The sequence below is a fragment of the Homo sapiens genome, chromosome 2 (genome assembly GCF_000001405.40).
Source record: "Homo sapiens chromosome 2, GRCh38.p14 Primary Assembly".
In the NCBI taxonomy this organism is placed as follows: domain Eukaryota; kingdom Metazoa; phylum Chordata; class Mammalia; order Primates; family Hominidae; genus Homo; species Homo sapiens.
The window spans coordinates 12,276,309-12,293,395 of NC_000002.12; the positions used below are offsets into that span (position 1 = coordinate 12,276,309).

A 17,087-nucleotide genomic window follows, 5' to 3' on the forward strand; every position below is an offset into this window, starting at 1 on the left:
CAGAACTGTGAGAAATAAATTTCTGTTCTTTAGAAATTAACCAGTTTCAGGTATAACAAACTTACATGAGATCACAGGGCATTAGTTAAAGAACTTGTGTGTGAGCCTCAGAATAAATAACAAATTTCATAAAATTGAGCACTGTTTTCCAAACACAGTATTTGCTGTATTATGTGTGTTAATGCTTAAGGCAAGTTTTGTGGAGCCTACTCATCATCTCTAAGCCCACAAAAGACATAAAGGTTGGAAAAACTATGCCTGGTTACACCGCATTTTAAATTGAGGTCTTGCCACCGAGACACTGTCTCTAAAATTGGTCCCATACGGTCCCGGCTATATGGTACAAGGACAAAAAAATGAGATTTGAGATCAGCTTGTCTTGAGCAGTTTTTTACTTCTTTGCTCTTTATCATTAGGCAATTTGTTTAGCTTCTTATGCCTATGAAGAGCTTGGCATAGAATGGAAGCTCGGGAAGTGGTAATTTCCTTCCACAGTTTATCTGACAGTCCTTTCTACAGGGATGATGCACATAGTGACCTGACAGTTCCCATCGGTATCCCACCATATCTCTTCCATTCCTTGCAAAAGGGCAGCTACACCTTGAGTCCTTTTCTGAATGAGGGACTGATGTGAACTGTCCAACTTACTCACCAATAAAGACTGCCAGAGATAGACTTCCTTGCCTATGTAGAAAAAAAGTAAACCGAGGAAAATGGGCAGAAAAGAAACCTCTTGACGTTTGTTTGAAATTAACCCACTTGGGTGACCACAGTAATGAACTACTTCTCCCACACATACTGGTGCCTAGTTTCACTGGATTGGCAGCTTTGATCCGGAAATCCCAGGTGCCTGAGTGAGGACAGAGCTATGAAAATTCAAGCGGGATGACATTTTCCAAGGAGAGTTGGATTAGTGCAGGGGAAAATGCTGCCAAGCTGAAAACCTTTTAGTATGGAGGAACGAGAAACTGCATAAGCAACATCATACCTGCAACATGAGTTTATTCACAGTGAAGAGCTGGTGACCTTTGTGTGAAGGAAACTTGGGCTCCGCAGCCGACGTTTTCCTGTGTCTAATGCTAATGTTCCCCTTCTAATGCAAAACCAGCTGCAAAACTCATCTGCACTCTTCTCATGCTTTTCTTCTCCTTCCTGCTCTGGTTATTTTTTTTCCGGGCACACTTCTTACACTGTCAGAACTTAATATTATTTTACAACCCTGAGCCAAACCTTGGGAGCTTGAAGAATAGCTGAGAGGCAGACACACAAGCATGAACTGACCCCCTTTTAACACACACGTGGCTCTTAAGATAGGGGAAAAAGAAACCCAGGACTCTGCTGGTGTTGTGGGAAATGGTTTGTCCTTATCTGAACTCAGTTTGTGTTGGTTGGGGGCTTCTTAAGGAACTCCCTTTGCTGAGTCACTCTCTCAAGGACATTCTGAGGGTGATAAACTCAGAGCATGTGAGATACAGGACTACAGGACAGGAAAAAAAGGACTCTGCTAAGGCCATGAAGCCCAGGAACTTTCTCCACATTCTCTAATCTTTACACAGTCCTAAAGGGTGAGTAGCATTAATCCCATTTGTGTAGATGAGAAAGTGGGTTCAGAAAGTTTTACTGCTCTAGTGTCACAGACTTAGCAATGATAAAGTCCAGGATTTGTATCTAGATTTACTTACCTTCAATACCATGATGGCAATAATGGCCATTTACTGAGCATCGAACATGTCCCACATACTCTAAGGACTTCATGTCTATTTCTCTCATTATTCTTTGTAATTCTATCATCATACCAATTTTAAGGTTAAAAAAAAACATCCTTAGTGAGGTTTTATTACTTGTTCATGTCTATCTGGGATGAGACTTTATATGATAAAGAAAAAGCGCAAAGCAAATGAGAGCTAAATGTTCCTCTTGCCCATGCCACAGGTGTTCCAATAGCACAATCTTCAATTACTAGCTTTGATCTTGAAGAATTTCATAATAAGAACCTAATAATTAGGATGCAATTGAGGTGCAATTCTAAGCACTTTCAGATCATCAGCAATCCTTCTGCCAACAAAAGATTGTGGTGTGGGGCTAACGGACACTTTACAGTTATCAAAGGATCACACCCAAGACAGACGGATTTTTCTAATTGTAATTGTCCCTCTTGTCACACCTCACTCACCCAGCTTCAAGGAGTGAATGCATGAAAGCTGCTGAGAAGGTGAATAATTATTCCAGGGGACATGTATGCAGTTTCAGTACGTTTGAGTTCAGCTCACATTTATTGAGAGTGAATCACCGAATTACTGGACCATAGGCATTGTGTCTGAATGTTTCCAAAAATAATTATTTAGTATTCACAATTATTTATGGTAGGTATTATTGTTCCCCTCTTTTCTGATAAGAAAACCTATCCCAGTGAGGTATAGGCCATAAAAAGATCAAGCAGCAGAAGAATTTGAACTTAGGCTCTGATTCTTTTATTTATTTATTTATTTTGAGCTGGAGTCTCACTCTGTCACCCAGGCTGGAGTGCAGTGGCGTGATCTCAGCTCACTGCAACCTCTGCCTCCTGGGTTCAAGCAATTCTCCTGCCTCAGCCTCCCAAGTAGCTGGGATTTCAGGCTCCCACCACCATGCCCAGCTAATTTTTGTATTTTTAGTAGAGGCAGGGTTTCACCATGTTGGCCAGGCTGGTCTTGAACTCCTGACCTCAGGTGATCCGCCTGCCTTAGCCTCCCAAAGTGCTGGGATTACAGGTGTGAGCCACCACACCCGGTCTAGGCTCTGATTCTACACCGTATGTGATATGGTTTGGCTGTGTCCTTGCCCAAATCTCATCTTGAATTGTAGATCTCATAATTCCCATGTGCTGTGGGAGGGACCCAGTGGGAGATAATTGCATCATGGGAGCGGTTTCTCCCATATCGTTCTCATGGGAGTGAATGAGTCTCATGAGAGCTGATGGTTTTATAGGGGGAAACCCCTTTCGCTTGGCTCTGATTCTGTCTTGCCTGCTGCCATTTAAGATGTGCTTTTCGACTTCCACCATGATTGTGAGGCCTCCCCAGCCACATGGAACTGTGAGTCCATTAAACCTCTTTTTCTTTAAAATTTATCTGGGTATGCCTTTATTAGCAGTGTGAAAGTGGACTAATACAGTATGCCTTTATGACAACACCACCATACAAACTCATGCCTTTCTAATTCTCATACTTCGGTTATGACATGGTTTACTGAGTGTCTGGTTGTGCCCAGGCCTGTGCCCAATCAACCCGTCTATACCTTAGGAAGCTGGAGTCCTTATACACATAGAATAATTTGGTTTGCCTCACGTCCTACATGAACTGGAAGAAAAATAGCCTTTTTAAGCCCGTATTTCAGTTTTCAGTTTTCATGGCACTCTGATGGGGAATGAAGGGGATGAAAAGGGGCACACCGACCTGCTTCCCAGGCTTCCAGCTGTGTCCATGAGGTAGTGGGCTGAAAGGAAATCCACGGCGCTATTATGGTATAATTTTAACAAGAAAAACACCTTTTTAAAGTTCATCTGTGCTGCCTTTATACAGAAAGCAGCGCTGAGGTTCCTGGAACCCCATTTGTGATAGGAGCCATTTGGGATCGCTTCATTGCAGGCATTCATCTTTCCTCTAGTGTATTTTTATCTTCTCTCAGGATTGTCCACAGAACTTGGACTGCAGATTCGTTAGGCAGGGACTGGGGCTGCTTTAAGTCAACATAAAATTCTGTCATATTGTCAGTGCTCATTACGTCTTCTATAACATATTGTACTTAGGGTCTTTTGGTTTTCAAATATACTACCATGCTATTTTTCAGCAGGCAAGCCTGGGCAGATATTTTCTCCATTGGTCTACAGATAATGCTATTTTCCATTTTCTGCCTTGGAAAACGTTGACTCTCCAATAACCAACATTTGTGAACTAATTGATTACAAATGTCTATGAGGTCAATGTTTTCCCGATTCAAAGAGCTATCAGCATTTTATTTGATATAACTTCCAAAAGAGAATCATTTTAGGAGTACCTGTACTTACTACATTGTATGAGAATTGTCTGTCACACACCCTGATTTCCATGAGCATGAGACCAGAGAGGTACTTTTCCCCTACAGTGGTTACAGGAGGTTGTACCATATGAAAATGTTTTAAACCATCTAATGTCAACAATTTCGAACATAATGATCGAACAATTACGGTTCGATCTAATACCACATGTGGAACATAGCAAGTAACAAATAAATATTTGTTGATTGGATGAATAGATGGAATATAGATGTCTAGGTATGCATTTAGCCAACTAAAACTTAAAATGGGAGGTGAAACTATTTACCCAGCAGCAGAAAATCACTCTCTTCATATCGGCAGCAAGTGGGCTCTTGTCTTTGGAGACAAAAACAAATCAATGTATTTTTGCTGCTTCAATTCATTCACTTGTTCATTCATTGACCCTTTCAGTAATTATTTAGCATCTTATGTGACGGCACCATGCCAGCTGAGAAAATGCAGAGAGCCCACTGTCAAATGTTGGAGATGGGGCAGTCACCAGTGTTGGCAGCACACAGAGGAAGTACATGCCATGGTAGAATTAGGTCCAGGAACCATGAGAATCTAGAGGACAGGCTCCCAAAACCGGCCGGCTGGTGTGGAGGTGACACATAAGCTGAGTTCTGAGATATCAGTTAGGAGGTATCTGCCAAGGAAGTTAGGGAAAATAGAAATCCTCCAGAAAGAAGAAACCACTTCTTCAAACACCTAGAGGTGCCACTTCCTGGTGATAGGAAGGTGAGCCCAGACTGAAGAAGGAGGCAGGAGCCAGGCCAGGAAACTCTTTTAAGGAGTTTGTATTTTATCTTGAGGGAAATGGGGAGGCAGTAAAAGGTATTAAACAAGGCAGTGACCTATTCAGCTTTATGTATTAGTACAGATCATCTGAAAAATGATTTGAGGATGTTTTTCAACTAAAAAGTGAACTAATGGGAGTTTTTGCTGGTATGGAATCAAATTTGTAGCTGATTTTGGTAAGTAGCAATTCTTTCCATCTTTATTATATTGGTCTTTTCATTATGTCAATTATATCTCTAATCATTTTGGAGTGGCTTTATGTTCCTAAGGATGGTTTCTAATTTGCACATTGTCCTGGGTGGAGGAGTGAGTTCAGATCACCTATACCAGCATTGCTGAAAATAGAAATTCCCTTTACCAGGACTTCAGCAATAGAAATATGTAATTTTTGTGAAAATTCTTTGTTGTATCTTGCTCTCCTTAAGAACCAGACATGAGCACAGGACCTAGGAAGATGTCATCTTGAGTTGCTTACATATTTGCACTGAAAATAAAAAAATCTTCCCTTCCCTCCAACAAGAACCCATTGCCTGAACAATGCTCTAGAAGAGCTATTTTCCAGCACACACTCATGTCTCTTCTCCAACACTCAAAGATTAAAGTTAAAAGAGTCGCTGAAAAGCTTTTAAACTGAAAGACAGAAAATAATACTTTCATTGCATTATTTTAAGCATTTATTTTTTTCTTGTTGTATCATTTAATTTTTAACGGTCTTTGTTTTTTATGGAAATATTTACATCTGTCTCATTATAAAAGTGCAATTAAGTTAGCATATATTTAGTAAATACCTACTAGGTAGACAGAATAATGCAGACATGTTGACAGGATGGCCTGGAGTAGAGAAGTTGGAAGGGAAGTTATGTATTTTGACTGACTTGAATGAGTTACAATAAAATCAGTGTAGTAAGCAGGAAAACAATTCCTTCACTAAGAATTGGCAGATGGGTGGTCAACCATTACTTCCAGATAAGTAACTACACAGTCTTGTGAATTTATTCTTTGATTTGTTCAACAAGTAATTACTGATCATTTGCCATGTGCAAGGTATTGTGCCATGTGCTGTGGGGGTTAGAAAAGAATCAGAAATGAATACTGATTTCTTTGAGTTAATGGCCTAGTATTACAGATAAATCATACACATACATGTCTCTGGCAATAGTCCCTAAAGCCTTTTGATCACTCAACACTATTAGGAAAAATATTTGAACATACAGCCCAATATACTATTTATTATAAATAATTTTATTGCATTTTGTAAATATACTTTTAAAAAGTAAGATACATAACAGTAAAATGATTTGTTTTTTCAACTCAATAGAATATTTTGATTAAAATTTTTTTATTAATACCATTTTTATTGAGAACAATATGATTGACTATGCTTATTTCTCAAGCATTATTTTAATTATTTGCACTTAGTGATTGAGAATCTGATTTTAATTTCATGTTATTTAATAGTTTTTAAAAAAATATTGTAGCTGAAAAGTTTTCTTTATAGGAACACATAAATCAAAATGGAAGAAATGCATCCTTGGCTTTTCTTTAAATATTGATGCACGTATTTTAGTCCCAATTACCAATTATGTAAAATTTTCTTTTTCCATTTTTTGCTTTTGAATTTGGCTTATAAATGTCAGCCTTTCCTGATGTCAATCAATTGTTACTGCAAACTCATCTGAAGATGTGACATTTTTTATCTATTTTAAAAATGAGTTTGAAATCCCCTAAAACTCTTCATTAGGAAGTACTGCCTAGCCCTGCTATTCAGCATTATACTGCTAGTCCTAGCCAGAAAAATTAGGCAAGAAAAGGAAAGAGAAACAAAAATAATCCAATTTGGAAAGGAAGTAAAATGATCTCTATTTGCAGATGACACGTTCTCTATAAGAAAATCCCAAAGAATATGCACACACACGCACACACACACACAAACCTACTAGAACTAAGTTTAGCAAAGTTTCAGGGTATAAGGTCAACACACCAAAATCATTTGCATTTCTATTTGCCAACAATGAACAATTCAAAAAGGAAATTAAGAAAAAAATTATTTACACTAATATTGAAAGAATAAAATACCCAGAAATAAATTTTAGAGAAGTGAAAGACTTGTACACTGAAAACTATAAAACATTTCTGAAATAAATTAAAGAGGAAATAAGTAAAAAGATAATCTATATTTATGAATTAGAGCACTTAATATTGTAAAGAAACTACTCCCTAAAAAAGATCTACAGAATCAATATAATCCCCATCAATGGCCTTTTTTCCCCTGAAATGACAAAGCTAATTCTCAAATTCATATGGAATTTCAAGGTGCTCCAAATAGCCAAAACAATATTAAAACAAAATAAAAACAAAATTGGAGGCCTCACAAATTTTCAGTTTCAAAACTTACCACAAAGCTGTGGTAATCAACACAGCATAGCACAGCCATAAGTATAGGCATATAGGCCAATGTAACAGAATGAGAATCCAGAAACAAACCCAAACATCTATGGCCAATTGATTTTCAGCAACGTTGCCAAGACCCTTCAACAAGGAAAGAATAGACTCTTAAATAATTGGTGCTAGGATAACTAAAAAACCATATGCAAAAGAAGAAATTTGGACTCCTTTCTTCACTCCAAATATAAAAATTAACTCAAAATTAATCAATGACCTAAGTATAAGAGCTAAAACAACAAAGCTGGTACAAATAACACAGGGATAAATGTTCATGGCTTCTTGTTTGGCAATGGATTCTTAGATTTGGCATCAAAAGCTTAAGCAACAAAAGAAAAAGACAAATTGGATTAATAAAAATTAAAAATATTTGTGCCTCCAAATACATTATCAAGAAAGTGAAAAGACATTCTACAGAATGGTGGAAAATGTCTGCAAATCATATATCTGATATAAAGGTCTAGTATCCAGATTATATAAAGAATTCTTATAATTTAACAATAAAAAGAAAAACAATCTCCCACATGGACAAAGACTGGAGTAGATATTTCTCCAAAGAAAATATGAACACGTCCGACCAGTACATGAAAAGAGATTCAACAGCACCAGCCAAAACCACGAGAACCATTTCACGTCCACTAGCATGAGTATTAAAAAAAAGAAAGAAAGGAAAATAACAAGTGTTGACAGGGATGTGGAGAAATTGGAATCCTTGTTCTTTGCTGGTGGGAATGTAAAATGGTGCAGTTACTGTGGAAAACAATTTGGTGGTTCTTCGAAATTTAAACTTAGAATTATTGTATGATCAGCCATTCTACCCCTAAGTATGTACCCTAGAGACTGGATAACAGGTATTTAAACAATATCAAAAAACTTTTCCACAAGTGCTTATAACAGTTGTATTCACAAGGTAGAAATAACGCAAATGTCCATCACTGAATAAAAGGAGAAACAAATTGTGGTATCTATATACAACTAATCGATCCTAAAAAGGTATGGAGTGCTGATTCATGCTACAACTTGGATAAACCTCAAAAACATTATGCTAAGTGAAAGAGGCCAGACCACAAAATGTTACACATTGTATGACTCCTTTTATATGGGTTATCCAGAATAGGAAACTTGATAAAGAAAGTAGATTGATGGTTTCCAGGGTAGAACAGCAGGGAATGAAGAATGATTGCTTAATAGTTATGGAGTGTTTTTCTGTGGTAATCAAAGGTTTTGAAACCAGAGAGAGGTAGTGGTTTTACAACATTGTGAATGTGTCAAATACCACTGAATTGTATAATGTCAAATGATTAATTATAGGGGATGTGAATTTTACCTCAGTTAAAAAAAAGTACACATGGACATTGTAATAAAAACATATAAGACAGCTATTAAAATTCTTCAGAGAGTTTAGAATCTATGCTTTTGAAAATTGCTTAACATAGCAAAGCAAATACCTACTGGTCTAGAAATAGAGGTTAAATGCAAAGATTACTATATTTACTTGAGAAAAACACTATTTTCAAATAAAGCTTCCGATGAACCAGGAATTGATGAGGAAGACAATTTTAAAATGAATTTTCATTGTGATTGTAGCTACAATGATAAAATGGATGAACAGATATTTTGAATCACCTACAAATCATAAAGTCACTTTAAGTTTCTTGTATGATCACCACAAGTTGTAGGAAGTACCATTGCATAACCTTATATTTTAAGTTAATTTCAGACTTTCCTGAAACTAATTGTATAAAGAGTTAAATCTTTTTAGAAAAAATGTTCTCTAAGAATCATCAACTCCAGATGTACAATTTATATTTTCAAAAAATATATCAGAATTGTCATAACCTAAGCATACTCTTAATAGTTTCAAGAACAGTTCCATCAGCAGAAAGATTATTCTGAAAATTAAAAACTATCAAAAATTATTTGTGATCTTGCATTTTTCAAGAGTGACTGATGTCACTTTTAATTATACAGATTGAAAATGAAGTTACAAAAAGTATAAATTCTGATGTCCTAATTTGCAGAAAAGCAAGACATAAAAATGTTATGATCAAGGAAGACATCACATTAATCAGTATTATTTATTGTATTAAATAAAATCGTGACACTGAAATATTATTTTTTATAATTTTTAAGTTTATAGCATTAATCATGTACTTCTTTTACCCCATCATGTTTTATAATTAACAAACTATTTCTTAGAGAAAAAAGTTTTGTATTTTATTGCGTTTACCTGATCTTCTTTTATCTTGCTTTTTAAACTGAGGAACCTGTGATAACATTTCACTCTGGGCATCACAAGTTACATATTTGGCCTCAAGCATAATGTATGAATTGCAGCTTTTATTAGGAGACCCATGCTTCGAGATTTTTTTTTTTTTTTCCTAAGGAAAAATGTTAAGAGGGATGCCCACCTTCCTTGGCTCAGGCTCTTTGTTCTCCATAGGACCAGTCAAAAATCTTTCAGCAAATACTATTTACCTAGGATTACCTGGACTACTATCTGTACAGCAGGTTGACAATCTAAAATATTTAAGATATAGTCTCTGAAAAAGTTAAATCACATCAATAGCTAACTGTGAAACTGTGCTCTGGACTTGAAGCTGTATCTGATTCAGGGGTCAAAGAGAAAGAGAGGGATTTTGTTGCAACCAATTCTTTATATTATATAAAGCTTATTATAAGCATTTGTTACAGTTGTTTTTTCCCATATATTATTGAAGTGCCGTCTTTGTCTGGGTTAAGTACCAGAGGTTCGTTGTCTCACACTAAGAAAATCAAGGATGTGGACACACAAGTAGTGAGTTTAAGACTGGAGGTTTAATAGATAAAAGAAAGAGAACAGAGAGTAGCTCTCTCTCCTGCAGAGAAAATGGGGAGCCCAAGTGGGTCTTCCGGTCTGTGGTGAAGTGCAGGAGGTTTTATAGGCTGGCTTGAGAAGGTGATGTCTGATTTACATAGGGCCCAAAGATTGGTTGGACCAAGTGTGACGTTTACATAGTTTGCAAAGAAGCTGGCTATGCCACCCTAATCTTTTATTATGCGAATGGATTTTCCACCTGGCCTGCTCCATGTTGTCTGCTCCTCACTGCATATGTGGTTGACAAAGAAAAGGGAAAATGAAGCTGCCCTGTTGAACATGCCTAACCCCTGTGTAGCCTTTTCCTATTGGCATGGCTGCTGGCATTCACTCACGCAGGCTTCCAACTTGCTTATCTATGTCTTTAGCTTGATCTTACAGGCTGCTTTGTGTTAGAAAAAAAGTGATTTTAGGGCTGCTTTTTATTAAAAGGAAAACCTTACTGAGGACTTCCTTATTCTCACTATCTGCCTGAATAATTTCTTTTTAACTCCTATATCATTATTTTATTTCCTATAGCACAACAGTCATATAAGACTATTGCCCCAATTTTAAGTTAGAAAATTGATGCTCCAAGAAATCAAAATTGGACCCTCGACGCAGTCAAATGTTTATGCTGATGCCACCAATGGGTATGTAGGTGCAGGCCATCAATCTGGAAGGAGTAGGACTTTCCCTTTAAATCACTTGCCAAAGCCACTAAGTATACATTAATACATTTGTTCTTTGCCCTTTAGGAAAACTGTTTTCTTGAAACAAGGCTACTTATTTTAGCTTTCATAACCCAAAATGAAAGGAAGCACTATGATAAAGTTCTCTATGATAAAGATCTTTCCTGAGATACTCCCTTTTTAAGCATTGAACCTTACCTTCCGGCGTTTCCTGTTACTCATCTGTTATATGTCTCTGCCAATTACAGAAGGGTTTTTTTTTCTGTATTCCCTTTTCTTCACTTTCACTATTTATTCCCCATTTGTAAACCATCAAAAGTTTGTGCTTGAAGCCATTCGGCTTTCTTTAACTTTTGACATGATTCAGTTCTACAGCCAATTTCCATGTCATTCCTCATAGAAAACAAACAAACTGAGCCCAGGACATAAATTTCAGAGTCACTCAGCTGGGGTAGAGGACTGGGAAGGTGTCTGGCTCACAGCTCCAGGCTGGCAAGGCAAGCACCGGCTGCTCCACACCCTCACACCCCTGGGAGAGGAGTCTTTTCGAAACCCAGGAAGCCACTAACCTACCCAAATGAGAATTTGTTTTTGGGTAATCACCAACTAACACTTGACATAAACAGCATAGACAGCCCTGAATTAGGCAACCCTGAGTTTGAGTCTTGACCTTGAGAAAGTTGTGGGCTTTTGCTTTATTAGCTATAAAATGCACATAACAATAGTCTTGACCTAGTAAAAGGCTGTTGGAAAGATTAAAAGAAGAAATGATTAAATGAGATAATGCCTGGCTTAAGTAAAGTACACATTTGATAAATGTTACCCATTACTATTTATGAAATGCTTCTCTAAGAAATCAATTTCCTATTCTCTTTCAAGTCAATTGACTATACCTTTATTTTTAGCCCTTGGGATAAAGCTTACCAAGTCTGGATCAGATAGATTGAACAATGGGTTGCTGGAGATAATCAATAAATCCAGAAAGTGTTGCTGGGGAAGAAGCTTAACAAAGACCCTCTTCTCACATGGCCATAGACTGGGGGAGTATGCTTATCTGATGAAGGTGACCTCATCTCAGCCTTCCAAGAACACATTCTTATCCTTTCTCATCTCTGGTGGCAGCCCCCACCACAAACGCCTTGAGACCATAGATTCTCTTTTCTCTCCCCCATCAACTATGAACAGACAAAGATCCTAAACTTAAACTGCTGAGAAAGTTTAAAGGGTGGCTCCCCTCCCCAGTTCCGTGCCTTGAATGGAAGCTCAGTGTCAGGACAATAAACTTGTCATCCTGTTTACATTGGTTTTTCAAGGTTAATGTTGGAGGGAAGGAGGGCTTACTTGAATACCCTCCTTGAATCAGAGCATGTGTATTTGCTTATAAATTAACCATGCTAGGCAGAATTCATATCAGTAGCAAACAAGATACTGGGGGACAATAACAGTTATGGATATTTGTCCAGTGCTGGATAAATTCAGATCATTTTCTGAACACGTTTCATTTTGTTTCCCAACATCGTTTTAGGGCATCTTGATGCAGGAGCGGGACCAAGAATTTGGCTTCAGAAGTTCAGGTTCATATGTCAGCTCTGTTTAAGCCCCTCTCTGTGCAAGCTCAGGAAAATGGCTTCCCTAATGAAGCCTCAGTTCCTAACCTGGAAAACAGAGGATTTTTAAAAACATCCTACTTCACAGGGCTTTTAAGAGATTGGATGGAACAGTCATTGATGACCTGTCTTTCCCCAGAAATCTTCAGTTCAGAAAGTTCAGGCATATTAAAAGATGGAGTCAAGACAGAATGGGGTCTTCTGACTGAAGGGTCTTCCAGGGCCCTGCTTCAGGGTCCCTGTTCCTGAAACGTTAGCCATACCCTTGGACAGAGCTGGAACTTGGGCACAACCAGGGACTCTCAGTCTAAAATGAGGTCTCTGGGCACAGAGTTGACAAATTTTGAATTGTGGTAAAATAGTTGATCAGCGCGGCCCCATTTTGCCTCCCAAGGGATAATAAAAGAAACCATCACTGCTGACATCTGCATGGGAAGGCAAAGAATGACATTTCTGCTGCGAAGAAATGAACCATCGAATGCATTTCAAGACAGTGTGAGGTCAACTGTAATAGTGGTAAAACCTGAGGCCTCACACTAAGATGTCAGTGAAGAAGAACAGATCACCATGAACACAGAGCTTTAGGTGATGAGAATGTTTCTCTCTCTGAGTGAAACTTACTTGGCAGAAAAATTGCAGAACTCAGGCTCAGTCTTGGCAACTTCAGGGGCCTCCCTAGTTGGGGCTTAGTCTAACTTTCTCTTTTTCTTATGTTAAAACTATATTATATACATAGAACTTTTCATAGATCTTTGTGTTTTGTGTGAGAGATTCTTCTTGAGAATATATCTATATATTTTAAAAATAGACCTTAATAAATTTTGTATTTCATATTATCACTATAATAAGCTTCAAGTTATTTTGCTGAGTGTGTTTTTTCTACGTTCTATTTGTCTTTTTTTTGAATAAAATTTTTTCTTACCTTTTTTGAATAAATTATTTATTTCATTTCTACTTAAAACATTTGCAAATTAAACAGTCTATATTTACTAATTAGCCTGTAAATTATAATAATTAAATTGGCACATTAAAAAGTTAATTTACCTTCCTCCTAAACAATATTAGGCTCTTTTTTTTATTCCCATCATTCCCCTTCTGAGTATAATTATCAAGATTATTTTAGTTTCTCCTCTTTTTTTAACCCCATGAATCAGATATTTTTATTATGATTATGGTTTTTGCCATCAATATCTGTTTAGATTTACCCATGTCATTGGTTTTTGTTGTTGTTGTTGTTTTTTTTTTTTTTTTTGAGACAGAGTCTTGCTTTGTCACCCAGGCTGGAGTGCAGTGGCGCAATCCCGGATTTAAGCAATTCTCCTGCCTCAGCCTCCTGAGTGTCTGGGACTACAGACGTGTGTCACCACTCCTAGAAAATTTTTGTATTTTTAGTAGAGACGGGGTTTCAACATGTTGGCCAGGCTGGTCTCGAACTCCTGACCTCAGATGATCTGACTGCCTCAGCCTCCCAAAGTGCTAGGATTACAGGCATGGGCCACCGCTCCTGGCTCCTACATTATTGTTTTTGATCACTATTTCTTCTTCCTTCTAAGACCTTCCTTCTTGGGTTATTTTCTTTCTTTCTGAAGACCATATTTTTGAATTTGTTTAGCGTGTATATGTGGATAGTAAACATTATTAGGCTTGCTTATATTAGGTCTTAAAATTTTGCTCTTATTCTTGAAAGATATTTTGCTGACAGTTATTGTCTCTTAATGGTTTGAAGACACTACTTCCTTGTCTTCTCGTTTCCATTGCCGATGTAGTGAGTTACTGTCGGTACAATTACCTTTCCTTAGTAGCGAATCTGCTCTTTCTTTCTGATGCTTTTGAATTCTCTTTGTCTTCAGTGGGTTTTGGTTTCATGAGACTATGTCTAGATAATTTAAATGTATTCTATTTGAGGTATGTTGAGTTGGGCTGCCTGAATTCAGAAGACTCCATGTTTTATCAGTCTTGAAAAATTTGTCACTGTGACTTCAAACTTTGCCTCGTCCCCTTTTTCAATGCAAACCTCCCCAAACTCTGATTTTCTTTATGTTGCATCTCCCTCATTCTCTGTCTCTCAGTATTTATTTGATAGTTTACAGTAGTTTGTTTTGCTGTGCTGCATCATAAATATTCAACCTTCAGCTTATTTATATCCAGTGGTCAACTCACTTTGAATGTTTCAGTGTTGATTTCTAGAAAAATTATTTAGTTGTTTTTCAAATATGCCTGGTCATTTTTTTTATAATCTCTTAATCCTAAGAGATTCCCTGTTTTATTCTAGCATATATGTAAACACTTATACTCCTCCTATGCATTTTAGTGTCTGAATACTTCACAGTATTTAATACATCGTTTGCCGCTTTGGCTGGCTGTCATCATGGTGCCCATTTCCTTGTGCATGTCTGTGTTTTGTTTTTGTAGCTTTAGTGTTCTCTGAAAACTGCCATGGACCTGGGTTAGATCCCATTGCTTGATGGGAATGGTTGTTATGAGTGGAATAAGTCAAAAGAAAAAGGCAACATAAAATTGTAGAAAGGCATTCTGTTCTGGGATATGAGCAATATAGTTATGCGTTCTTCTTCTGATTCCAATTCTCTGTATGATATAATTCTCACTTGGAAAGTAGACTGCCCTTCAAACTAGATTGATATGAAAGATGCTGGAGAAAGAGACCAAGATGAATTCAAGATTTCTGGCTTGGTCATTGGACAGGTAGTGGTTCCATTCCCTGAGAAGAGATGTGGTCTCATGGCAATGTGAGATGGAGATAATGACTAAGATTGGGATATGATGGATATGACTGTGAAATCTGCAGGTAGAAATGACTGGTATACAGTTTAGTATCTAGATCTAGTGCTCCGTAGTGTGCTCTTTTTGAGAGATTTAAAAATAGAAGGGAGTAAGTTCAAATTTGCTTAACCCATTTTCTTCATGATCTAGGCAACTTCATCCATTATTTTTCAGCTTTCAAATAAAACACCCAAAATATTTTTCTATGACCCAATCAGAAGTATATACCCATCACATCTAAATTGTCTCTATCATTTTTGTTTTTCTTCTTTGGACAAAAGACATGAGAACAGCCTGGGAAACACGGCAAAACCTCATCTCTCCAAAAAATGCAAAAATTAGCTGGCATGGTGGCATGCACCTGAAATCCCAGCCAACTTCTAAGCCTGAGGTGGGAGGATCAATTGAGCCTGGGAGGTTGAAGCTGCAGTGAGCTATGATCATGCCACTGCACTCCAGCCTGAGTGACAGAACAAGACCCTGTCTCAACAAAACAAAACAAAACAAAACAAAACAACAACAACAAAAACAACCATGAGAAAAGACGTGAGTTTGCCCCTCTCCATATGGGGCTTCCCCCACCAGCATCACTGTCTCATCTGGGCCATAATATTGCCTCTCTCTGAGCATTAGAGTCCTTCATCAGTACAAGAAGAGATTGGAAGAAATAATCTCTCAGGTACCATTTTCCTGTAAATTTTTCTGATTCTCAATTTGGTTTGGAGAGAGAATTAGGATTGAAACTAGAAGTAGAACTTTCTATAGAATTCCCCAGCTTTCTTTGTCTCTTGTTTCCTTCTAAAAGTAAAAGAGCTATAAGCACTGCCCAGCCATTAGAGCAACTCTCCTCTGGCACAGATCGCTAGATCTTAAATGAGAACCAGCAAACAAAGAATGCAATCCCACCAACAGTGTTGGATTGCATTCTTAATTTGCTGGTTCTCTTTTACACTGTTGGTGGGAGTATAAATTAGTTCAACCTTTGTGGAAGACAGTGCGGCGATTCCTCAAGAATCTAGAACTAGAAATAACCATTTGACCCAGAAATCCCGTTATTGGGTTATACCCAAAGGATTACAAATCATTCTACTATAAAGACATGCACACGTATGTTTATTGTGGCACTATTTACAATAGCAAAGACTTGCAACCAACCCAAATGCCTATCAATGATAGACTGGATAAAGAAAATGTGGCACATATATACCATGGAATACTATGCATCCATAAAAAAGATGAGTTCATGTCCTTTGCAGGGACATGGATAAAGGTGGAAACCATCATTCTTAGCAAACTAATACAAGAACGGAAAACCAAACACCGCATGTTCTCACTCGTAAGTGGGAGTCGAACAATGAGAACACATGGACACAGGGAGGGTAATATCACACATCGGGGCCTGTTGGGGGTGGGGAGCTAGGGGAAGAATAGCATTAGGAGAAATACCTAATGTAGATGACAGGCCGATGGGTGCAGCAAACCACCATGGCATATGTATACCTATGTAACAAACCTGCACGTTCTGCACATGTACCCCAGAACTTAAAGTATAATAATAAAAAAAAGAAAAAAAAGAATTAAAAAAAATAGAATGCAATCCACAGGTGGGATCGTAGGTCAATTTTTTGTTGCCTTATTTTTCCTTTTGTATAATAAACTAACAGCAACAACAATAAAGTCCTGATGGGTTAAAACAAAATGATTGAAATAATTTAATTTGAATGCTCATAAGCAAAGTTTTCCTTTAGTCAGAATGTTCCAGGATCATCAGTTTATGCAATAATTATATACAAGTAAATAGGTTTCTAGATTATATTAATAGATGTATATATTGATTTTCTGAGACAACTGTGCTCATCTCATTTTAATGTAGTTTT

At 37.4% G+C, this 17,087-nt stretch overlaps 1 long non-coding RNA gene across 1 annotated transcript in view, besides 2 other annotated features; it reads left to right on the forward strand.

The window, feature by feature from the left end:
* MIR3681HG (MIR3681 host gene) overlaps nucleotides 1-17,087 on the forward strand; it is a 571,233-nt gene that overhangs the window by 269,193 nt on the left and 284,953 nt on the right. The window lies entirely within an intron of this gene.
* Nucleotides 1,348-1,492: an enhancer, noted in NCBI's record as "145 bp enhancer 141 fragment used in the MPRA reporter construct; PK_construct_3809". NCBI's record gives its function as "activates an SV40 promoter by MPRA in K562 cells {active_cell/tissue: K562}" and the evidence as "EXISTENCE:reporter gene assay evidence [ECO:0000049][PMID:23512712]".
* Nucleotides 1,415-1,425: a transcriptional cis regulatory region, noted in NCBI's record as "NFE2L2 motif; enhancer activity is reduced when this motif is scrambled". NCBI's record gives its function as "necessary for full MPRA enhancer 141 activity {active_cell/tissue: K562}" and the evidence as "EXISTENCE:site-directed mutagenesis evidence [ECO:0005528][PMID:23512712]".